Source organism: Homo sapiens, chromosome 11 (assembly GCF_000001405.40).
Source record: "Homo sapiens chromosome 11, GRCh38.p14 Primary Assembly".
Lineage (NCBI taxonomy): Eukaryota > Metazoa > Chordata > Mammalia > Primates > Hominidae > Homo > Homo sapiens.
The window spans coordinates 45,844,142-45,866,254 of record NC_000011.10 but is presented as its reverse complement, the minus strand read 5'-3'; the positions used below and the strand labels follow the sequence as shown (position 1 = coordinate 45,866,254).

The 22,113-nt window shown below is 47.5% G+C and overlaps 1 protein-coding gene across 2 annotated transcripts in view, besides 15 other annotated features; it reads right to left on the bottom strand.

Moving 5' to 3' along the window:
* CRY2 (cryptochrome circadian regulator 2) overlaps nt 1-19,137 on the bottom strand; it is a 36,127-nt gene extending 16,990 nt beyond the window's left edge. Inside the window, exons 1-5 of one of the 2 annotated variants that reach the window (NM_001127457.3) lie at nt 18,974-19,137; nt 10,165-10,273; nt 7,382-7,524; nt 5,223-5,407; nt 4,107-4,195 (exon numbers count right to left, since the gene is read on the bottom strand). In NM_001127457.3, coding sequence (NP_001120929.1) covers nt 4,107-4,195; nt 5,223-5,407; nt 7,382-7,524; nt 10,165-10,273; nt 18,974-19,005 — 558 coding nt within the window. In that variant the 5' untranslated portion in view covers nt 19,006-19,137. Of the gene's footprint in view, nt 1-4,106; nt 4,196-5,222; nt 5,408-7,381; nt 7,525-10,164; nt 10,274-18,549; nt 18,781-18,973 lie in introns of those variants that run through there. The other variant, NM_021117.5, reaches the window with a different exon arrangement.
* Nucleotides 254-755: an enhancer, noted in NCBI's record as "H3K27ac hESC enhancer chr11:45887051-45887552 (GRCh37/hg19 assembly coordinates)". NCBI's record gives its function as "activates a minimal SCP1, AML or CMV promoter by ChIP-STARR-seq in naive H9 embryonic stem cells {active_cell/tissue: H9 hESC(naive)}" and the evidence as "EXISTENCE:reporter gene assay evidence [ECO:0000049][PMID:30033119]".
* Nucleotides 4,003-4,297: a silencer, noted in NCBI's record as "tiled region #13574; HepG2 Repressive non-DNase unmatched - State 15:Elon". NCBI's record gives its function as "represses a minimal TATA promoter and a strong SV40 promoter by Sharpr-MPRA in HepG2 cells {active_cell/tissue: HepG2}" and the evidence as "EXISTENCE:reporter gene assay evidence [ECO:0000049][PMID:27701403]".
* Nucleotides 4,003-4,297: an enhancer, noted in NCBI's record as "tiled region #13574; K562 Activating DNase matched - State 15:Elon". NCBI's record gives its function as "activates a minimal TATA promoter and a strong SV40 promoter by Sharpr-MPRA in K562 cells {active_cell/tissue: K562}" and the evidence as "EXISTENCE:reporter gene assay evidence [ECO:0000049][PMID:27701403]".
* Nucleotides 4,003-5,432: a biological region, named in NCBI's record as "CDK7 strongly-dependent group 2 enhancer GRCh37_chr11:45882374-45883573".
* Nucleotides 4,233-5,432: an enhancer, noted in NCBI's record as "CDK7 strongly-dependent group 2 enhancer chr11:45882374-45883573 (GRCh37/hg19 assembly coordinates)". NCBI's record gives its function as "activates an origin of replication core promoter dependent on BRD2, BRD4, P300/CBP, MED14 and CDK7 cofactors, with strong dependence on CDK7, by STARR-seq in HCT116 cells {active_cell/tissue: HCT116}" and the evidence as "EXISTENCE:reporter gene assay evidence [ECO:0000049][PMID:35650434]".
* Nucleotides 5,943-7,142: an enhancer, noted in NCBI's record as "BRD4-independent group 4 enhancer chr11:45880664-45881863 (GRCh37/hg19 assembly coordinates)". NCBI's record gives its function as "activates an origin of replication core promoter dependent on BRD2, P300/CBP, MED14 and CDK7 cofactors, and independent of BRD4, by STARR-seq in HCT116 cells {active_cell/tissue: HCT116}" and the evidence as "EXISTENCE:reporter gene assay evidence [ECO:0000049][PMID:35650434]".
* Nucleotides 6,404-6,949: an enhancer, noted in NCBI's record as "H3K4me1 hESC enhancer chr11:45880857-45881402 (GRCh37/hg19 assembly coordinates)". NCBI's record gives its function as "activates a minimal SCP1, AML or CMV promoter by ChIP-STARR-seq in naive H9 embryonic stem cells {active_cell/tissue: H9 hESC(naive)}" and the evidence as "EXISTENCE:reporter gene assay evidence [ECO:0000049][PMID:30033119]".
* Nucleotides 13,517-13,656: an enhancer, noted in NCBI's record as "active region_4671". NCBI's record gives its function as "activates an Ori minimal core promoter by ATAC-STARR-seq in GM12878 lymphoblastoid cells {active_cell/tissue: GM12878}" and the evidence as "EXISTENCE:reporter gene assay evidence [ECO:0000049][PMID:35858748]".
* Nucleotides 13,643-13,937: a silencer, noted in NCBI's record as "tiled region #9087; HepG2 Repressive non-DNase unmatched - State 14:Gen5', and K562 Repressive non-DNase unmatched - State 18:Pol2". NCBI's record gives its function as "represses a minimal TATA promoter and a strong SV40 promoter by Sharpr-MPRA in HepG2 and K562 cells {active_cell/tissue: HepG2 | K562}" and the evidence as "EXISTENCE:reporter gene assay evidence [ECO:0000049][PMID:27701403]".
* Nucleotides 18,010-18,119: a silencer, noted in NCBI's record as "silent region_3289". NCBI's record gives its function as "represses an Ori minimal core promoter by ATAC-STARR-seq in GM12878 lymphoblastoid cells {active_cell/tissue: GM12878}" and the evidence as "EXISTENCE:reporter gene assay evidence [ECO:0000049][PMID:35858748]".
* Nucleotides 18,010-18,759: a biological region, named in NCBI's record as "H3K27ac hESC enhancer GRCh37_chr11:45869217-45869738".
* Nucleotides 18,068-18,589: an enhancer, noted in NCBI's record as "H3K27ac hESC enhancer chr11:45869217-45869738 (GRCh37/hg19 assembly coordinates)". NCBI's record gives its function as "activates a minimal SCP1, AML or CMV promoter by ChIP-STARR-seq in naive H9 embryonic stem cells {active_cell/tissue: H9 hESC(naive)}" and the evidence as "EXISTENCE:reporter gene assay evidence [ECO:0000049][PMID:30033119]".
* Nucleotides 18,520-18,759: an enhancer, noted in NCBI's record as "active region_4670". NCBI's record gives its function as "activates an Ori minimal core promoter by ATAC-STARR-seq in GM12878 lymphoblastoid cells {active_cell/tissue: GM12878}" and the evidence as "EXISTENCE:reporter gene assay evidence [ECO:0000049][PMID:35858748]".
* Nucleotides 19,120-19,169: an enhancer, noted in NCBI's record as "active region_4669". NCBI's record gives its function as "activates an Ori minimal core promoter by ATAC-STARR-seq in GM12878 lymphoblastoid cells {active_cell/tissue: GM12878}" and the evidence as "EXISTENCE:reporter gene assay evidence [ECO:0000049][PMID:35858748]".
* Nucleotides 19,220-19,329: an enhancer, noted in NCBI's record as "active region_4668". NCBI's record gives its function as "activates an Ori minimal core promoter by ATAC-STARR-seq in GM12878 lymphoblastoid cells {active_cell/tissue: GM12878}" and the evidence as "EXISTENCE:reporter gene assay evidence [ECO:0000049][PMID:35858748]".

Genomic DNA, 22,113 nt, shown 5'->3' with positions numbered 1-22,113 from the left:
GCCCAGATTGCTCCACCCAGCTGCCTGCTAGAAACCTCTACTTGGCTGCCTCTCAGGCAGCTCAAGGGAGATGTGCCCTTTTCTTTTAACCCACCCTTCCATTGGCCTCCCTACCTCAGATAATACACTGCTAGCTACCTAGCTGCCCAAGGCACAATCCTAGCCATCACCTTTGTCCCCTCACCAAGTCCTGTCAATTCTACTGCCTAAATATTTCCCAAATCTGTCCTTTTCTTTCCATTCCCTGCTGCCACCAACCTGGTTCAGGCTAAGGTCATATCTAGACTGGACAACTGTGGCAGCCTCCTGACTGGCCTCCCTGCGTCCACTCCCATCCCCCGCTAACTCATTCTCCACGCTGGGACCAGAGTAATGTAATGCCTGTTGCTCGGGATAATGTACACAGTGGGCTTCCTGTTGCTCTGAGGACAGAGCCCAAATCTTCATGAAAGCTTCTGTGGCTCCCCAGCACCCAGGCCTTTCCAGCTCTGTCTCTTGCCCCTTTTTTTTGAGACAGGGTCAGGGTGGAGTGCAGTGGTGTGATCTCGGCTCACTGTACCCTCCGCCTCCTGCTGCCCCTCTTCTTTACGCATCTGCTCTCACTGGCCTTTGCCTCTGCACAAGCAGCTGCCTCTGGACCACTGTCTTCCTTTCCCTCACCTTCACCTGGTTAACTGAGACTCTTCCTTCAAGTCGCAACCTCAAGGCTTCCTCCTCTGCAGGTAACCCCTGTGGTATCAGGTTAAGCACTTCTAACAGATACTAGGTATTTTTGCGTGTACACACCCTTGCTAGCCCCCAGCTTTTAAAATATTTTTATTTTAAATGAAACTTGGATACAGAAAATCACACACATGTGTGACTTAATGAATTATTCTAAGGCAAACATCCACGCAATAGCCACCAAGGTTTGGGAAACAGAGCTTTGACAGCCACCCCAAGAGTCTATGTGCTCATCCCAGGAATAGTTCCCTCCTGCCCCCCAGTATATGCAACCCCTACCTCAGCTTTTATAATAAACACGTTCTGCATTTCTGAAATGTTTACATTTTTCTATTTTGGCAAAACGTTTGAAAGGAAGGACTTTATCTTTTCACAGTTATTCTTTGTGTTTAAGTAGCTTTTTTTTTTTTACCCAAATGTGCATTCCTAGGTATTACAATTTAGTCTTGGCCATTTAAAAAACTTTATTTCTGCCCGGGTGTGGTGGCTCATGCCTGTAATTCCAGCACTTTGGGAGGCTGAGGCAGGAGGATCACTTGCGGTCAGGAGTTTGAGACCAGTCAGGCCAACAGGGTGAAACCCTGTCTCTACTAAAAGGACAACAATTAGCCAGGCATGATTGTGGGAGCCTGTAATCCCAGCTACTCAGTTTTCTTTTTTTTTTGAGACAGAGTCTCATTCTGTCAACCAGGCTGGAGTGCAGTGGCATGATCTCGTCTCACTGCAACCTCCGCCTCCCAGGTTCAAGCGATTCTCGTGCCTCAACCTCCCAAGTAGCTGGGATTACAGGCACTCGCCACCATGCCTAACTAGTTTTTGTATTTTTAGTAGAGATGAGGTTTCACTATGTTGGCCAGGCTGGTCTCGAACTCCTGACTTCAAGTGCTCCACCTGCCTCGGCCTCCCAAAGTGCTGGGATTCTTTTTCTTTTATTTCTGAGACCCCACTCTCTGTCACCCAGGCAGGAGTGCAGTGGCATGACTTCCTGGGCTTAAGTGATTCTCCCACCTCAGCCTCCCAAGTAGTTGGCACTACAGGCACATGCTGCCACACCCGGCTAATTTGTTTTTATTTAGAGATGAGGGCTTGTCATGTTGCCCAGGCTGGTTTTGAACTCCTAGGTTCAAGAGATCCTCCTGCCTTGGCCTCCCAAAGTGCTAAGATTACAGGTGTGAGTCACTGTGCCTGGCCTTAAAAAAAACTTTAATATGTTATTTAATTTTCTTTTAATCTGCACATTTTATGCCATTTTTTTCTTTTCCTTTCCATTGTTCTGGGAAAGAATCCAGGCCATCTGACTTGCCAAGATTCCCACAGTCTGGATTTTGCTGACTGTATACTCATGGTGCAGTTCAACAAGTGCTGTGTCCTGTGTATCACCTGCACATTGGTGGCTAGTACCAGAAACTGGACTGGACTCAGGTTTGATCCCTTTGACAAGACTACAGGGGGCACATAATGCTTGCCTCCTTCTATGGTGTCAGCAGTCACCAATACATAATGCATCATTATTGAGGGTTACAAAATGGTGGTATTCAAATTCCACCATTCCTTTTTAATTTAATAATCAGAATACTTTTATAGAGAGATGCTTGCCCTCATCTACTATTGAGTAACCCAGTGGTAAAGATCATGTAGCTTCCTCTGCTTTTCAGTAACAGCATCTCATATTCCTGTGGAGAATCAGCCTTCCCTGATCCTAGTCCGAGTGGATAAAGCAGAGCTAAACCTACCTTCCAGTTCTGGGAGCGGACTCATGATGCAAGTCTGGCCAGGGAAAGCACCACCTCCTATACCTGGCCACAGTCATTGAGTCAGGGACAGTCACATGACCCAAACCAGGACAATGAAAACATGCCTTGGGACTTTTCCTGGTGCTTTCGGAAAAGAGGCACATACCTTCTTCTATCTAGTATTGCTAAACTGGCATGAGTAGGTGCTCCCTTCAGATTTGGAGAACTGAAGGAAGCTAAAATAAACATCCTGAAATCAGGTTCAACTCCTGTATCTCTAGCACCATTTGTTCTCCCAGATGTGCAGGACACAGTATTTCCTCTGGGCACCACTGAGTCTGAATATGTCCATGGCGTAAGGGCCCTTGAGAGAAGGGGCCCGCTCTCTGGGGGTATGTGGAAAAGGAGCTCCTGTCGGTGACCTAAGGGACATCCTTCTACAAAATGTTCTCCAGCTGATAAAAACTAACCATAGATGATAGCTCTTTACAGGTTTAAGCCTTACTCTACTCCTGCAATCCCATTTGTCATCTCCACCCTTCTGCCCCTTGGCCCAACCTTTGTCTTCAAACTGGGCCCAAGAATCTCTAGGTGAACCTTTTGATGTGGACAGAGATAGCTAGTCTCATCCTTTAAGTCTGTGGGGCTTGCTTTCGTCCCAGGCTGAAGGAAACAACCAGGTAGAAACATCGAGGCTGTGGGCCTTCACTGTTGACTGGACACCTCCAGGGCTGGAGAACATTCTTCCCAAGTAGATTTGCCTTGGCCTCCTTGTTCTATTATCGTCATCATCTGGCTGCTAGGCAAAATACCTAGCCATCTTAGCAGGCATAGAAAAAGCTGACATTTTATAAACCAGCTGCAGGGGGCAGGAAACTAGGAGCTGACTGTTCTCGGACATGAGAACTTTCTCTGCTCCTCTAGCTGCAGGGGAGTGAGGACTTTGTGACACTGTGCCTCTGAGGCCTGGGCTTCTTTCCTCCCCAGTTCTCACTGCACTGGGAGGTGGGCCATTTGCTCTGTGTCCAAGCATATGGAAATCAACACGCTGAAAGAGTTCCAGCAAAAAGGTGCGGAGACACATCAACACAAAATAATCTTATAGATTTTACTAACCAGATATCCTCTTAGTAGGGGGAACCTGCCCACAGATGAAAGAAAAGCAATCCGACATAGCTTTAGAATAACATAGAACAAGGTCTTACTGTGTTATAAGGTGAGCATTCCTAATTCAAGAATCTAAAATCTGAAACACTTTTGGTCCCAAGCACTTTGGATAAGGGATACTCAACCTGTAATTACTAACTTTGTGACCTCAGGCAAGTTACTTAACCTCTCTAAGCCTCAATTTTGTAATCTGTAGAATGAACAGCTTAGTACCTACCTTGCAGGCTATTGGAAAGATTAAAAGAAATGCCAGCAGGTGCTTAACCCAGAAATGCTGAGCCTAGTGACCAGCACATGGTAAGTACTCTCTAAATGGTAGTTGCTGTTAGTGTTGCTGTTGTTATGGCCATCAGGAGGATAGGAGGATTTTTCATTTTCCAAACAATGTGAGCTAAGAGGGACTAAAGGACATGGACATGACCTGTATCTCCTGCTGTGTGGATATCAGTATCTGCAGCTCTGTGTCTCAGAAACGGCCCATACCTTCCGTTCCAAGTGCTTATCCAGGCGGGCCAGAGCTTCTGTCTCTCCTCCCTGCCAGACAGCTGGACCAAGTCCTTCAGTGGGGAACCCTGAAGAGAAGGAAAGGTCACAAGACAGGAGGTTTGACCATTTCAGTGATAGCCCGGCACGGCTGTTCTGTTATTTGAACTTTATGAGAATTGAACCACAGTGTCTCGGTGCTACTGGGGGTTAGATAATCCTTAAAGTTTTAGCGTTTTCTAGGTCAACTTGGTTCTCTTCCCACAGTCACTATTTTCTCTGCTTTCCCCTGCACCCTCATCGCTCCAGGTAGATGACAACAATCCCGGACCTCCTGCCTTTTCAGATTAGCTGGCAACAACTGTGGTTTTCAGGTGAAAAAGGCTAATAGCTTTGTTCAGATCAAAAGACTGGAGGTGTGGCTCACGTCTGTAATCCCAGCACTTTGGGAGGCCGATGTGGGTGGATCACTCGAGGTCACCAGTTCAAGACCAGCCTGGCCAACATGGTGAAACCCCGTCTCTACTAAAAATACAAATATTAGCTGGGCGTGATGGCAGGCGCCTGTAGTCCCAGCTACTCAGGAGGCTGGGGCAGCAGAATTGCTTGAACCCGGGAGGTGGAGGTTGCAGTGAGCCAAGACTGTGCCACTGCACTCCAGACTGGGCAACAGAGCCAGACTCCGTCTAAAAAAGAAAAAAAAAAGGTAAGAAAGAGGGAGGGGTGAAAGAGTGTAGTTAGTAATCTGAGAGGCTGACAGATTCCCTGCTTTCAACAGAAGCAATACTAGCTATCTTGTTACTGAGAAGCCCATGGACACCAGCACCAGGCAGTGCCTGTATTGTCTGCGAGAGGTTAGTACAAAAATAGAGGCATGATCTAGAACCAGAAACAGAAGATTACATGTATGAGTATGAACAGAACAAATACTAGAAGGACACAGTTTAAAATTAATTGTGGTTACCTCTGGGTGGTGGAGTAATAGTGACTGCCATTTCCATTTTTGTTTTCCTGTGCTTTCTAACCTTTCTATAATGACATGCATTACTTTCACAAAGAATTTCTTTACACAAAAGCAGGCACCAGCACAAGTGGCTCTGGGCAGGAAGTACGCACCCAGCTCCTCCAGGGAGGGCACGCCGTAGGTCTCGTCGTGGTTCTCCTGGATCTCGGCCCTGCAGCTCTCCATCTGCTGGCTGGTCACCAAGCCCACTGGCTTCTTGGGCAGCTCCATGCGGCTGATGATGGCCTGAAAGCGCTTGTATGTAAGGGGTGGCTTCTGCCCATTCAGCTCAATGATCCTGGGGAGCCCAAAGCATAGCTAGTGTTACCCACATGGCCCTGTGATGTGGGTCCCTGCCCACCCAAAAAAGAACCCAGACTCTGAAGGCTTTGAGGGTGGCTTTCCTCATCCACTCACAGGTCCCATGCCTGAGTGGAAAGGAGGGGGCAAGGGAGGCCGCATCTCCATTTTACCGAGAGGGAAAATAAAGCCCAGAGAGCTGAAGCAGGTGCCTCAGTAATGGAGCAAGGCAGGGCCAGAGCTGGGACTCAATTCCGGGCTCCCTGGTGTTGACGCAGAGCCGCCTAAAGACAGAGACTGACAAAATCTCTAATCACAGAAAAATCCCTACTAGCCTGCTTGGCACTTGGCCTATCTGTCCAAGCTAAGGGAATCCCCATAGGCCTCTACCACCCATGTAAGCCCTGGAGAAAGTTCTTTGATAAGAGCTGAAGACATGTTTTTTTTTTTTTTTTTTTTAACTCTAACATCATAAGGAATAGCAGACATGTTCCTTTCTTGGAAAATCATCCCCTTCTTAGCCTCCATTTATTAGAACATTGAACAGAGAGGTGGAAGACAGCTTATCCTCCCAAATTCAGAGACTGGAGCTAGAGTTCATAGCCACAACTGATACTTAAAGAGAGTCTTGTAGTTTACAAAGTATTTTTCATGACCAGGGAAAACATAACTGCACTCATGCAAGAAGGAAGGAGTATCAGAGGGCGAAGAAGAGAACGGAGGCTGTTTATATAAGGATGAATTGGGATGGTATGGAGCCACATTCCCGGGGCTCTTCTTGGCCAAGAAGTAGCTTACGCAAGGCCCATCTGGCTGGGTGAGTTCATTTCTCAGTTTGCTCTCCCCACGTTAGTGGAGATATATGGTCGGCTGCTGCCTCTGCTATGCCTCCCTCTCCTCTGGCACGCAGCAGGAGGAGGATCTCCACACCCAGCCTCTCCTCCTGAGGGCCCGGCTCACGTGCACAGCTGTGTGACCTGGCTTCTTGGCAGCCAGCACTGGGTTGGGAAGTGGGGGTGGGGAGCGGCGGCGGCTGCTGGCTTGGCAGCAGCAGCAACAGCAGCAGCAGCAGCAGGAGGGTGACAGCTCTGGCATGGCAGGGAAGGGGAGGAGAGGATTTCCTCCTAGAATCTCTGAAAGCACAGAGGCTGTCACCAGGGGAGGAGGCTCCTCTGTAGTTAGCAGCTCCCTGCAGGGATCTCTAGAGCCCTCCCCGCCACCAAGCAACATGGCCTGGAAACCCAGATAGTCATAGAACCTGGGAACTCTTTTTTTTTTTTTTTTGACACAGGATCTTGCTCTGTCACCCAGGCTGGAGTGACGTGGCATGATCACAGCTCATGGCAGCCTCAAGCCCCTGGGCTCAAGTGATCCTCCAACCTCAGCCTCTTCAGTAATTGGGACTACAGGCATGTCCCACCATGCATGGCTAATATATTTATTTTTAGTAGAGACGGGGGTCTCACTATGTTGCCCAGGCTGATCTTGAACTCATGGACTCATGTGATCCTCTCAAAGTGCTGGGATTACAGGCATGAGCCAGCATGCCCAGCCTAGGAACTCATCTTAGGTACAAAAACTGGACCTGTGTGAACAGAGGTCTGTTGGAGGGGTAACAGACAGGGTCCACTGAGGTCAGAGGGCAGCTGTTGAGCAGGATGGAAGTGGGAATATGAGGCACAGGTGGGACTCGGGCATACTAGGAGCAGATTTGTAAATACCCTGAGTGTGGGTCCTCACTGCTTCCATGCTTTGGGCCTAACAAGCCTCTCTGCCACCTCAATGGGGTAAAGCTCTTTGTGACCTGTTCTACAGGTCCTGACTCTGGCCTATTCTCCTCCAGCTTCTAGAAGATGCCATGCCTCCTGGGTCAGGTAGCCCTAATGCTGAACCTCTCTGAGTTCCGCTCAGCAGGGGCCCAAATTACTAACTCTCACAATTGGTAACCTGATCCCTGGGCCCCATCTCTTACCTGTCCAGGTCATAGAGGGTATGAGAATTCTCCGTCACTACTTCCACACCAGCCTCCTTGGCCATCTTCATGATGGCTGCATCCCGTTCTTTCCCAAAGGGTTCAGAGTCATATTCAAAGGTCAAGCGGGTCACTCCCCATTCCTGTGGGGAGAGGATCTGTTATGCTCAACACTGTGTTTGGGGAGGAGGGGGAAGCTGGACTCTCAGTTCCTTCCTGGGAGAGAACAGAGCTAGTCTAGAGACCTATCTGATGGGCAGCAGAAAAAACTAGGAACAGGGATTTGATCTGGAAAGCAAACAAGCTGAGGTTCAGAAAGTTTGAGGAGGGCAGGCAGTGTGGCGAAGCCAACAGCACAGCAACAGTGGAGTTGGGAGAGAGGTAGGCAGCCTTGTGCACTTGCTGTGTCCTTGAGGTAGGAGAATGCAGCAGGAGGCCATAAATACAACGCTCCTGGGAAACCCCCAGTCCCAGAGAGTGGCACTGACTCACAGGTGGGACAGGACCACAGCCTTCTGCCTGCTCAGCAAGCTTTTCCCAGAGCTCCTCACAGCCCTGCAGACTTGTGGCCTAGTTTTCTTGGCAGAGTTGTGCTATGTGAAGTGTCTTAATTGTTTCCACAGCAACACTCCTGAGGCCAATAGCAAACAGAGCTAATAGGTTCCAGCCCTGAGAGAGTCAGGAAAGGGGAAGCGATCCTTAGTCTGGAGGTCAGAGGAAACTGACCAGAGGGGCTACATGTTGAAAAGGAGGAAGTTCTTTCCTAAGCCTTTAGTCATTTCTGGTAGGAATTTCTAGATCTCATAGCAAGCTGGCCCAGTGAATGGTTGTACAGTCAACCCACAGAAAGCCCTAGAGCATGCAACTTGCAAGAAGAAAAACACATTCTCCAAAGTCTCTGGTCATAGTCTCTGAAAGCTCTGAACCACAGGGGCAAATGTCCTAGCCATGCACAGGCTGGTCTGGTCCTGACTCAGCCCTGCCCGGGGACTGGGTCCTTAGCAGGGCCAGTTATCCCTCATTCGAGGATATCAGCATTAAACATTGATTGAGCCCTTGCTATATGCCAGGTACCATGCTTATAGTTCATATAGGTTACATCACTGAATACTCATTGTAACCTGTGAATAACAATATTATTAAATTACATTTTCTCCAAGAAGCCTTCTTGACCTCCTCCTTCAATATAATTCTTCTGCACCTTGTCTTTTTTCCACTGCAGCATGTATTATATGACAATGATACACTTGCCTGTTTCCCCTATTAGTGTGAACTCTCAGAGCAGAAACCATGTTGTCTCACTCATCATCATTACCCTTATACCTAGTATGGGGCCTAGTACCTAGCAGAAGCTCAATAAAAATACATTACATGACTGAATGGATGACCTAGCTATATCTCTGGGATATAAGTGGGTTGGCCTCTGAGTTGCTGGGGGAGAAAAAGGGCAATGTCGAGGGGAGAAGGGAGGCAAATGTATTTATATGGTATGGTGGGTAAGGATACAGCTCTAGAGTCAGAATCCAAGATCGTCACTTATTAACTTCACAACCAATGACTGTTTCCTCTCCTGTAAATCGGGATAGCAGTAGCCACCTCTTAGGCCTGCTGTGAGGAAGAACTCAGTTGATGTAAACAAGCACTGGGAACAGCGCTTGACTCATAGGCAGCCCTCAATGAATGTGGGCAATTACTAGCACTGTGTGATTTGTACATGTATGCACAATTATGTGTGGGGTTACGGGGAGGGGAATTGAAGGATGATGTATTCACTAAGCTGTTTGCCTTGACATGACTTTTCCTTTTGTCTCGGAGTTAGGGTGGGGAGGGGCATGACAATCATTGTGTGCTGCTGAGGGTGATGGCAGTCTGTCCCACAGCCCTCTGTCCATGAGTTCCTGTGCTTCTATGTGGGCCTTAGAATATACTTTTTAAAGGGATTGAGGGAAAAGTGGACTGGCCCCGTTACTGCAAACAGAAACCTATGTGGCACCAAAATGAAGATTTCTATCAATCATTTACCCCATGGGAAACAAGAAAGCTTCCTCAGAAAGGCTGACCTTTTTTTTTTTTTTTTTGAGACGGAGTCTCGCTCTGTTGCCCAGGCTGGAGTGCAGTGGCACAATCTCGGCTCACTGAAAGCTCCGCCTCCCGGGTTCACACCATTCTCCTGCCTCAGCCTCTCGAGTAGCTGGGACTACAGGTGCCAGCCAACATGCCCAGCTAATTTTTTGTATTTTTAGTAGAGACGGGGTTTCACCATGTTAGCCAGGATGGCCTGGATCTCCTGACCTCGTGATCCGCCTGCCTCGGCCTCCCAAAGTGCTGGGATTACAGGCGTGAGCCACCTCGCCCGGCAGAAAAGGCTGACTTTTCCCAATAAGCAGAGCAAAGCAAGATGGGAAATGTACCTTGCTAGACATGAAACCCCACCTCAAAGTCTTGGCCTAGAAGGAACCCTAATAAATCTGGCTGGCTTGAGCCAAGAAAACATTGAAGGAAGCCAGTGGCATCCAGAGTGGAATGACTTACCACATCCTATGTCTGGACTGAGCTGAGAGCTTTCCAACAAGACACTGGTTTCCCAGAATTTTTTTCCTTAACACAGTTTCCATTCCAAGAGCAAGCTAACTGGCTGCCTTTGCTCCCAACTTCTCTAGCAGCAACAGCCAGACCAGCCCTGATGTTTCCATTCCCTCAGTCGGAATATCATATCACTCAGGCTGTGGGGAAACCGTCAGGGACAGAATCTCACTGTCTTCTCTGGGGCTCTGCACGCTTACCTTGAACAGCCTTGGGAACACGTCGGCTGGCTGTCCCCGGACTACAAACAGGCGGGAGTTCAGTTTCCTTAAACTTGTGTCCAAATCTTCCAGAGACTGAAGTAGGAACCTGTGGAGTCCACACAGGCCTTGTTAGTGATAACATCATGAAGAGTGGCTCTCTTTCCTAACAAAGCAGGGAGAAACTGGTTCGCTGTTTATGCCCAACAGGCAGCCTCATGATCACTAGGGCTGGAGAGGCCTGGGTTCCAGCCCAGGAGGGATGTGGTAGTGGATCAGCGCTGCTCTGCTTCAAACCCTGGTCTTGCCACTTACTAGCTGTGTGACTTTAGGCAATAACCTAACCTCTTTGCCTGTTTTCTCGCCGGTAATGTGAAGCTGATGTTAGTACCCATCTCATAAAATTGCTAAGAAAAGAAAATCGAATAATGTGTGAAAAACATTTAGCACTGTGCCTGGCACACAGACATCATGAGATAAATGTGAGCTGTTCCTAGTGTGGTGTTTCTGTGTGATCAGAGGCTAGTCACTTACTCCCTCGCAGTCTCTGGGGCTAGATATAAGTATCTGCCCAGCATGAGGTTGTTGTGAGACTCACGTGGGAGCCATCTGAAAAGCCAGTGCAATACTGTGGTATGAAGCATTAAGGTCCTCTTAGCAGAGGACCAGACTGCCACAGCCGGGAAAATCCTCCTTACTCTGGTGGAAAAGACTCCTTGACTTTCTGCATGCATGCTCTGGGCCATGCGTATTTCTGCTGCCACAGCCTCACAGCCTGCAATGGGTCCCTAGTTCCCAGAGCTTTGTTTGGCAGGTGGCTCACTCTCCAGGCCTCTCCAGGGCTCTGGTGATCAGGTTCTCATCCCAAGAGGGAGAAGGCCTTAAAAGGTACTTCTCAATAGCTATCTTCACATTTTTGTGGGGGTGGGGGTGGGGAAGACCGCAGCTAGGCAAGAACTTCAGCAGGAGACCTGGATCACCAGGGGAAAGGGAAAGGACATTAACATTTGCTGAGTGCCTTCAGCGTTTTATTTTTAAATTAAATTAACATTATAACCAGATAAACTATTCATGTGGCTCAAAATTCCAGTGACAAAGTGGTACATAGTAGAAAGGGTTTTCCCCTCCCTCACTCCCCAGAGGCAACCAAGGTTATCAATGGGATTTTGGTTCTGTCATGCTTTTTAAGTGCATTTCTGCATTTAATTCTCTCAACTATTTTGAAGGAAATAGTACCATCCTTATTTTATAGATGAGGAAACTGAGACACTCAGAGGTGAATTAATTTGTCTAAGACCATAGCTGTTAAGTGACAAAGCTGGGGATTCAGGAACCTAGGGTGGTCACTCTGAAACCCACATTTTCCTCTCTGTGCCCTTTTTTATTTATTTATTTACTTTTTGAGACAGAGTCTCGCTCTGTCGCCCAGGCTGGAGTGCAGTGGCGTAATCTCGGCTCACTGCAACCTCCCCAACCCAGGTTCAAGCGATTCTCCTGCCTCAGCTTTCCGAGTAGCTGGGGTTATAGGTATGTGCACCACACCCAATTAATTTTTTAAACAATATTTTTAGTAGAGATGGGGTTTCACCATGTTGGCCAGGTTGGTCTTGAACTCCTGACCTCAAGTGATCCGCCCTCCTCAGCCATCCAAAGTGCTGGGATTACAGGCGTGAGCCACCGTGAGGGTTCTGTGCCCCATTTCTAAAGATTTCTAGTTGCACACCAACTCTGTTCCAGGGGCTGAGATTCTGCAGGCCCTCAGGAGTTTGGAATCCTGTTCTCTAATAGCAATGTGACTACAGGTAATCCACTGGCATTCTTATCTTCTTCTTCAAGAACCCACAGGTCAATCTGCATATGTCACAGATACCTCTGAGGCACCTGCTATCTACCCCTTGGGTCTCCACCCATCCCCAGCATTTTTCTCTGTCAACAATAGAAATGGCACATCACAGTCACATTCCCTGACTACTGGAGGCTTACAGAAGCAGTGACTATTCCCAGGCTGCCAACTAGAACCAGCCCCCACTGCTGCCTCTGACGTACACAACTTGACACACTCCTACGGCCAATGCCACCGACCCACATTCTAGCATGGGCTGAGCCCTGGCCTCGGCTCAAAGCATCATGTTTGCAAAAGAGCATGAGGAAGACTCTCTGAGAGGTTGGGATGGAAGACAAACAGGTTGAATGCTGCTTTATGCAAACCAAAAGCTCCACCTCTGTGAATTTCTGTTTTTGAAAAATTGTCACCTCCAGAAAAGGAACAGGGAGCTGCAAGTGCGTCACTTGTGTTGGCCTCCCCCAAGCCTCACCACTCTTCTGGAAGGAAAAGAAGAGAAATCCATGCAAATGGTCTCATGCCATCTGAAACCTGGACCCTGCCAGGTAGAATGCCTAGGGCTAGGAGCAGTGATTTAAATTTCATAACCCCAGGACACAGGGTCCTCCATCTGCAGCTCCCAGGAGTGTCCTTGCCATGCGCTTTGGGGGTCTTTTCCTTCACAGTCCACCAGGCTGCATAGGACTTTGATTTGAAGCTATAAATAAGGTTGGAATGCACATGAAATCTAGGTTCCAGAACATGTAGCAATCTGCCTTCTATAGAACTTTATTTTTAGACCTCATTTACTAAAAGGAGAGATTCCTCGTAGCATCTCTAAAGTACAGCTAATCCTATGAGAGCCCTTTTCTTCTTTCACAAAAGATGTTTATAGCAGGAAGCAGAGATGTGAGGCTGGTAGAAGGCCCAACTCTGAACCCAGCAACTAAATAAAAATAATGATAATAATGGCAATGATTAACATTTAATAAGCATTTACAATGACAGGCACTATTCTACTTGTTTCACATACATTACCTCATTTAATTCTCAAACAGCCCAATCAAGTAGGTAATATTATTATTCCCATTTTATAGATGAGGGAACTGAGGCATAGAGAGATTATGAAACTTGCCCAACATCATATACCTAGTAAGTGGCCAGAATTCAAACCTAGGCAATCTGTCAGGCTTGACATGTTCGTTTTTAGCCAGCCACTGCCTCTCAACAAACAGAGCACTGAGGCTGTGCTGCCCTGGGCTCAGCCATTAGGGAGCACCACAGGCCAACTCAAAGGCCAGCAACACCTCTGCTGCCAGATCTTTCCTCCTCTGAGTGTGGTCTGACAATCAGCAGCATTGGCTGTGAAACACCCAGGAGTCTGTTGAAATGCAGAATCTCAGGCTCTAACCCAGACCTCCAAAATTAGAATCTGTATTTTAGCAAGATCCCCTGGTGATTCATTTGCATATTAAAGTTTCACAAGCACTACTCTAGAAAACTGAACTTTACTTCTAGTCTCTGTTACAAGTTGCCTTTCTTTGCTTCTAGTTTGTTTGTACTAAACTTTCTCTCTTGAGCATCCATATTTCTGCCTCCCCTTTGGCCTGCTAGAAATGCTCTGCTTCTTCCAACTTCCCTCCCGAGTCAACCCGGGAAGGGAGGGCTCAGGACAGCCACCACACGGAGGCAATAGACAGGGATGTGAGGAGGGTCCCCAGTATCTCCAGACTCCAGGCAGCCAGAGAATGCAGAGAATGAGAAGCCACCACTAGGGTACTACCTTTGAGGCCTGCCAGGTGACAGCTGTCCCTCACATTTGGAGCAGTGCTGCGACTGGGCAAAGGCTCAGTGGGCAGGTATATGCATTCTTTCACCAGAGAGAACCTTGGGCCTTCTGTGGTCCCTTAGAACCCTCCTCTTTACTCCAATTTCTCTTTACTCCAATGAGGGGACTCTGAAGGAAACTGGCCTGGGCATTGGAGATGGTGGTGTTGGGGGCTGGCACTTCACCCTTGGCAGCTCTTAGCTGAGCTCACATGGCCAAAATTCAGAGCACATGGTCCTGGGAGAGCAAAGCTTACCCTTTGGATTAGACAACATGTGCAACTGAATTACATTATTATGTAAGTGCTCTGGAGCCAGAGGCAGGCAGAACTGGAGAAAACCAGACTGGGATTTCCAAAAATATAGAGAGGACACTATAACTCAGGGACTCTACAAGGCTAGCCTTTTAGAATAAAACAAGCAGATCCTTTGATTAAGTACTCATATTTAGGGAAGGCCTTCTCTAGGAATGGCTGATCCTGTGTTGAGGAATATTTTATTTATTTGTTGTTAATGGGGGGAGGGAGGATAACAGTGAATTCTTTTGGGTCCAGGCTGTCCTTGACCAAGTTCCTCTGCTTCAAGGCAAGGTTATCTAACAACGATGATGATACCACTGGCTGGCACAGATTGGCTACATAGGATATTAATAGAAATTAATTTTTCCTAAGTAATTAAGAGAGCTTAAGCCCCATGGAAAAGGATAACCTAAACTCACAATCTCTGGCAGGGATTTATTTCTAAGTATCTGAGTGATATTTAGAAATACTTAAATATTAAATTCTTATTATTTTAAAAATATATTTATTCTTTCCTAATTTCAAAGAGAAAGATGAAGGTTTTTATCCCCTTTGGGCAAACAGAAACATTTCCTTGGCAGCAGAACAGTAAAGTGCCTCTCTCAGGTACCAATGTGAATAGCTCAGAGAAGCTCCTGTTTCCCTGCCAGTAGACTAGCGTTCTCAATCCACTTCCCAACAGTCCAACAGTGTTCAGCTCTCAGCATCTGGGAAGAGAGACACACTTGTTCTCATGGGGCATCCTGGGAAGTTCCCAGTTTACCTCATTTACCAATTCTAAGAGAAATGGGCTGAGAGGGAACATATTTTATTTCTACAAATTCCCTCTGTCCCAGAAGCTCCTGAAAGAGGCGCAGCACAGAGCCAGGGACAAAATGATTTAAATAAAGTGGAAGAGGAACTGTTGCTAACACCTATCCAAGTTGCAGTGGGGAGAGAAAGGTAATGAAAAACCACAGAGGTCATTTTAAAATCTAGGAACTGCTCACATCTTCCTTTAGTTTATCTTCTTGCTGCAGTACCTCCTTCTAGATGTAGCAAATCTGGGGAAGGTGAGGCTGGGGAAAATGTGAAAGGGCTTAGCCAAGTAGCACTTGGAAAAAAAAAAAAAAAGTCCTGAGGCTCATATAGCTACAATTAGCCCGTAAACTTCCCACCATCACCAGGGCAAGAAGTATGCTAGGCTTCTTCTTGCTAATCAATATGTGTATTTCTTGGTTGCATTTCTCTGTCCGTTTTTACTCTTAGTGCCATTCATAGTTATTTTAATCTGATTTCCTCTGCAGAAAAACATTGTGTGGGAGTCAGTGTAGAAGGAGCAGGAGGGAAACAGAGTCACAGATTTTGGGTCCTCCCCTCCTTGCAGATGGTCCCTTGCCCTTCCCAGGGAGGCTTCTCAGAGACAACTTAAGCAGTTGCAGAGCTAGGACATTATGCTGCAGCACAATTCTCTTAGACCACTCTTGGAATCCAGAAACAACCACGGGACGATTACACATACTACAGTCATGTCAAGATATGGCTGGCTCCAGCCCTCCCCTCTATCCCCAACTTTGTGCACAAAAGAGAATGCAGCTCTGCCTTCAACTGATCCAGGAAGCAAGCAGAATGGTGGAGGTGGTAGGAGTGTGTCTGTTTCCAGGCCCAGGAGCAGTTATTATATTCAATCTGTTTGTGTTACTTCATCTCTTTCTTCTGAATGCCAACATTAATTAGACTTCCTGCCAATGCACTGCAACATACTTCCTAGGTTGCCCGTCTCAGGACTGAGGTTCTCTAGTCCAGTGCTTCTTAAGCTTTGCTGCAATAAGAGCTTTAAAAACCTTAATGCCCAAGGCCGGGCACAGTGGCTCATACTTGCAATCACAGCACTTCGGGAGGTTGACGCAGGTGATTGCTTAAGCCCATGAGTTCAAGACCAGCCTGGAGAACATGGTGAAACCCCATCTCTACAAAAAATACAAAAATTAGCCAGGCATGGTGGTGCATGCCTGCAGTCCCAGCTACTTGGGAGGCTAAGGCAGGAGGATCGCTGAGCCCAGGAGGTCAAGGCTGCAGTGAGCTATGATCATGCCACTGCATTTCAGCTTGGGTTGTCACTTGAGCAGGACCCCGTCTCAAAAAAAAAAAAAAACAAAAAACAAAACAAAACAAAAAATCCCCAAACCTTAATGCCCAGGCCATAACCCAGAACAATTCTAACAGAACTGGGAGAAAGGGGCTGGGCACAGTGGCTCATGCCCTGTAATCCCAGCAGTTTGGGAGACCAAGGTGGGCAGATCACCTGAGGTCAGGAGTTTGAGACCAGCCTAGCCAACATGGTGAAACCCTGTCTCTACTAAAAATACAAAATAATTAGCCAGGTGTGGCGATGGCCACCTGTAATCCTGGCTACTTGGGAGACTGAGGCAGGAGAATTGCTTGAACCCGGGAGGTGGAGGTTGCAGTGAGTCCAGACTGCGCCATTGTACTCTAGCCTGGGCAACAAGAACAAAACTCCGTCTCAAAAAAAAAAAAAAATAGAATTGGGGGAAAGGGGCCCAGGTATCTTTTAAAGACCCTTATGGGATTCCAATGCACAGCAGCCAAGATTGAGAACCACTGCTCTAGTCTGTCCCCTTATCTTATGTTTCTCATGGCACTTCGTTTCACTAAATTATGGTTGTTTGTTGGTAAAATGTAGGCTCCAGGAGTTCTGGAGCACAGACACATCTGCTTATTCACTGCTGTATCCCTAGCAACATCTAGAGCAGTACCTGGCAGATATTAGGCACTTATTAAGTGATCAATTAATATCTGCATTCTTACACAGCCTCTGACTTCAGGATTTGACTCAGGCATCTGAGCCACATTCCTTTTCTTCTTCACTAGATTGATAGCACGATCACAAAATGATGACCCACAAAAATCCATAAACACCTGGTTCCTAGCAAACTGGAGTTTAATCAACAGGAATTTTATTGTTGATTTTTAATCTTCCCTATCAAAAAAGAGTAGGCAGTACTATGCAATGTCCCCCAAAACCCAATAAAAGAAGAAACTCTGTGACAATGTAACAAGAAGGTAGTCGGATTCCATTTGCCTGGCTCCGACTGGTGCAGGGCAAAGTCTGAGGCTTGGCTTAATGTGCACACTAGGGATGGTCATTTGATGATGCTTGTCAAACCCAACCTCCTATCTGTAGAAAACTGGAGCAGAGACAGAGCAATAAGGCAGCCTGAAAACTGTGGGCAGGCTCTCCACAGGACTCCTTAGTTGTTCCTTCTGGGCAGGAGGGGACACTGAACAGGCCCACTGCTAGCAGCACTCACTCTCTTAGCAGGGCACACACCTTGGAGAGAAAAGAATGGTGTGCCGAGAGCCACGGTATCCTGGAAATAACCCTGTCCATCGATGCAACAAGGCCACAAGCAAACATTCCCCAGAACAATGCAAACAAACCGAGCGACTGCCACTAGGTGTTCTGAAGAGCGATGGGTACATTATGTCTCAAAACTCTTTAGTTTGAATACTGTTTACAGTGAAAATACACTAACGACCTGTTCATCTTTTTCCATGATCATGTCGACTCCATCTCCTGGGGGGTCATCAGAGGGGCCCTTGATATCATGGCTTTCCTGCTCCCTAACCTTACCACAACAGTTCATAAAAGTCTCATCTCTAATGGCTCTACTGTCCTCTAAAATCATGACAAGAGGATGACGGGGTGACACTTTGGATTCTTTTAAATTTTTCTATCGAGGTCAAAGCTCCAGAGCAGGGCTTAAAACATTTTGGAGAATCCCCTGGATTCTCTGGAGCTTTGAACATAAAGCGACTCCACCTGAAGACGCCTTTGGCTTCTTTATTTATAATATAGGGGAGAAGACCTTATTTAATGCTAAGCCAGGGTCACTTGACACCCCTAGAGGCAGGACGGTCTGGGTGCAGGGTAGCCAGGATGGGTGGTAGGGCGGATTCAAACGAGCCAGAGGCTTCGGAGTGATCTCCCCGAGCCCAGCAACGGGCTCTTGAAGAATGCGAGCAAAAACCCGTCCCGCCCTCACACTACGTTATCTCCCTTCCGCCCCTCCCTGAGTAGACCGTAAGAGCCCTAGACCAGGAGCCCCTGTTCTGCCACTCACTGGCTACAAGTCCTTGGGCAGGTCGACTTTGGGTCTCCAGGGCTCAAGGGTCTCATCTGTACAACGGGGATCATGATCTCCGTTCCACAGGCAGTTGTGAGGCTCAAAGGGGTAACAGTGCGAACGCGCTTTGTCAGAGGCTGAACCCTGGCCCACCGGCGCGTTAGGACCATGACGAATTACTTCCCCGGTCTCGGCTTCTCCCCTCTGGCCTTCCAGCCGTGGCGGGGTTGGGGGGATCGTGCTGTTCGCCGGTCACCCCAGGGTCAGGGTCCTGGCTGCGTCCCCGCCACCCAGCCCCGGGTCCCCTCACCTCCATCGGTTGATCCCGACTGAGGAGGAGGCCGCGAACCACGGGTCGAGAATGTAAACGCAGCGCACGCAGCGCGCCCCGCGCACGGCCGCCAGCAACGCCGGGTTGTCGTGGAGTCGCAGCCCTTTGCGGAACCAGTGCACCGAAGAGGCGCTGTCCGTGCCGGGCGCTGGCGCCGGGGCCACAGCTGCCGCCGTCGCCACAGTCGCCGCCATGACTGTCCAGACTGCTCCAGCCACCCCCGCTCCGCCCCGGTAGGCGACGTGGACCCCGCCCATAGCCCGCCCAGTGACCTATGACGCCGCAACTCCACCCTTAGTCCCCGCCCACAGGGCCCCAGAGCCCCTCTGCCATTGGCTGAGTGCCTTCCACCTGGCGATTGGCCCAGAGGCGCCGGAACAGGCCCGCCCCCTCACGTTCCTACCATGTGTGGGTCCGCCCGGGTGGAGCTGGCATGCGGACAAGTGACGCAGGCTGGGGCTGTCCGCAGGCTGGGGCTGTCCGCGGAGTGCCGGGAGTAGGCCAAGTCTCAAGGGACAGCGGATCTCTTACCCACGTCCTGTTCAGGGCCTGCTTCTAGAAGAAGCTGCCTGGGCTGGTAGGGGTTGCTGTGACTACAGCCAGTGACTTGCAAGACTGACAGCTGACCTTCCTATTATCACCAACATCGTCACCATCACCATCTACATCATTCTACTACAGCTGCCATTTATTAAGTGCACTTTATATGGCAAGAGACATGATCATCTCCTTACGTAGACGGTCTCATTTACTATTCTCAACTCAGCCCAGTTACATTCATTTAGCGAACCCCAGTGAAAAAGCTGCTGTTGTTTTCGTTTCACAGATGAAGAAAACGGAGGGTGCCGCAGGTTGAGTGACTTATTCAATATCATAAAGCTGCTAAGAGGATTTCACCCAGATTATTCTGATTTCGAAATTTCTGCTTTTATCCACGAAGCTATACTTCTCTTTGTGCGAAGATCCTTGGTAATTCCAAGTGGCAGAGTCTAAGGACGGGGAAGGAGTGCCCTAATATGCAGCAGTAGAGGATTTGGGAGTAAGGACTGGGAATGTGGGGGACTTGAATTGAGATAGTAATTATGCCATCAGATGAATTTATTTTCTTTTAGTCTGTTTAGTAGATCCAGTGTGTGCAAAGCACTGTACTGGATTCCGGGTAGGGTTCAGAGATGTGGAGGACACTGTCCCCATTCTTCTGGGACGCCAGGTGGAACCCTCTTGGGCTAAGACGGCTTAGTCAAGCTGCAGCTTTGGGGTTATCAGGTGGAAAACAGTCTGTTTCAACTTGACCCTAGGTTGAGCCCATGCTTGGAACCCTTCCTGGACCTGGGACAGAGTGATGAAAGCATTTAGTAATTTAGTCTGCAATTTAGTGGCATTAATTGGCACCACTCTCTAAACCAGTGTCACTGCAATCCTAGGCATTCTCTGTCATTTCCAGGGCTTTTCACGAGCTGTTCCAGCAGTCTAGATCACACTCCCTCTTCCATCTTTGTTTCTAACTCCAGTTTGCTCTGTATCATTGTTCAGTATAGATGTCACCTTCTTGCTGTCTGATCCCAACCTGAATAGTGCCCCATCTTATTCTGTGCTTCTTTTTGGTCACTTGTCTTGGCACACAATACTGAAATTTCTTGCTTAAAAGTCTTTCTGCCCCATTAGAGTATAAACTCCTGGAGAGCAGGGGCTGTGGCTTATTTACATACAGTTGTATGTCTGAAGTCTAGCTCAGGGCTTGGCACCTAACGCTCAAGGATTATTTGAGTAAAAATTGAACTAGAGTCTCATATTGGCAGGCTCTTAAAGGTTTATCCTAGTCCGCTTACCTGACCCTTTCCTTATTTTTGAATTTCCTTTCCAAATTCTTGCTGAATAAATCGATGCAATCTTTCATTACTTTTATTTTAAGGTTTTGTGTTCCCCCTCTCCTATGCCCTCTTCTCTCCACAAGGTTGGTGCTTTGCTAGGAATGAAACAGAGTGTAAGGAGGTGGTTCTCCCTTAACCTCAGAGATGGGTCCTCTTCCCTTTTTCTCCTCTAAATTCCCATAATGCTATATCTGTATTCCGTGAACCCTGTGAGGCAGGGACTGTGCTTGTCTTACTTTTCAGTGTCTTCTCAGCTGGTACTCTGGTACCTAACATATAGTAGGTGCTCAAAAAACATTTGTTGAATGATCAAAAGTCACTTCCCTCCCCTCCCCTCGCTCTCTTATTAAGCTATCATGAGAGGCAGTGTGATGTAATGGTTAAACCTGAGGCTTTGCACATTGGAGTTGCTGAGTTCAAATTCTAGTTCTGCTTTTATTCTCTGTGACCTTGGATAAGCTAGTTAACCTCTCTGTTCCTCACTTTCTTAATCTTTGCAATAGGGTGATAATAGCACTTAGGATATAGTAAGCATTTGTACTGTGTCAGCTACTGTTATTCTGAACAGCAGGACCTGTGTCTGGTTTTGTCTTCCTTGTAATGCTCAGCCCTGGGTCTTACATGTAATGTGGGCTCCATAAGTTGCTGACTACATAAAATATTTTACTTATTTTTTTAAAGTCCTTGAAATTTTGCCAATAATGAAAAAACAAGTAATCAACCTCAGTTCCCAAAACCTAACAAATCAATTATTTCTTATCTTCATGTTGCCTTCTAGACTTTGTCCACAAACATTTAAGTTTTAAAACTTTAATCAAAGCAGAGGTTCAGTGCTCCCTGGGTTGTGTTTTTTTTTTTTTTTTTGTTTGTTTTTTTTTTTTTAATTTGAGATGGAGTCTTGCTCTGTCACCCAGGCTGGAGTGCAGTGGCGTGATCTCAGCTCACTGCAACCTCTGCCTCCTGGGCTCAAGCAATTCTCGTGCATCAGCCTCCCAAGTAGCTGGGAGTATAGGTGGCAGCCACCACGCTGGGCTAATTTTTGTATTTTTAGTAGAGTCAGGGTTTCACCATATTGATCAGGCTGGTCTTGAACTCCTGACCTCAGGCAATCCACCTGCCTTGGCCTCTCAAAGTGCTGGGATTACAGGTGTGAGCCACCGACCGTGTCCAGCCTGTTCTTTTTTTTTTTTTTTTTTTTTTTGAGACAGGGTCTTGTTCTGTCACCCAAGCTGGAGTGCAGTGCTGTGACCCTAGTTCAATACATTTTCAAACTCCTGGGCTCAAGGGATCCTCCTGCCTCAGCCTCCTGAGTAGCTAGGACTACAGGCACACACTACCATGCCCAGCTAATTTAAAAAACATTTTTTTCTTGGTAAAAACAGGGGTCTTGCTATGTTGCCCAGGCTGGTCTTGAAGCAATCAACTCCTAGCCTCAATCGATCCTCCCTCTTTGGGCTCCCAAAGTGCTGGGATTATAGGCATGAGCCATTGCACCCGGCCCAGCTTTTTTAAAACTTAAAATATTAAGCATGTTGTATATTGCTGCATCATTACTTTTGTGTTTTTTTGTGGTTTGTGTTGTCAAGTTGATAAAGATGAACTATTAATACTTCATTGAATAATTGCATATTGCTTCAGTATATTAACAGTGTAACATTCAAGAATCGGGAAG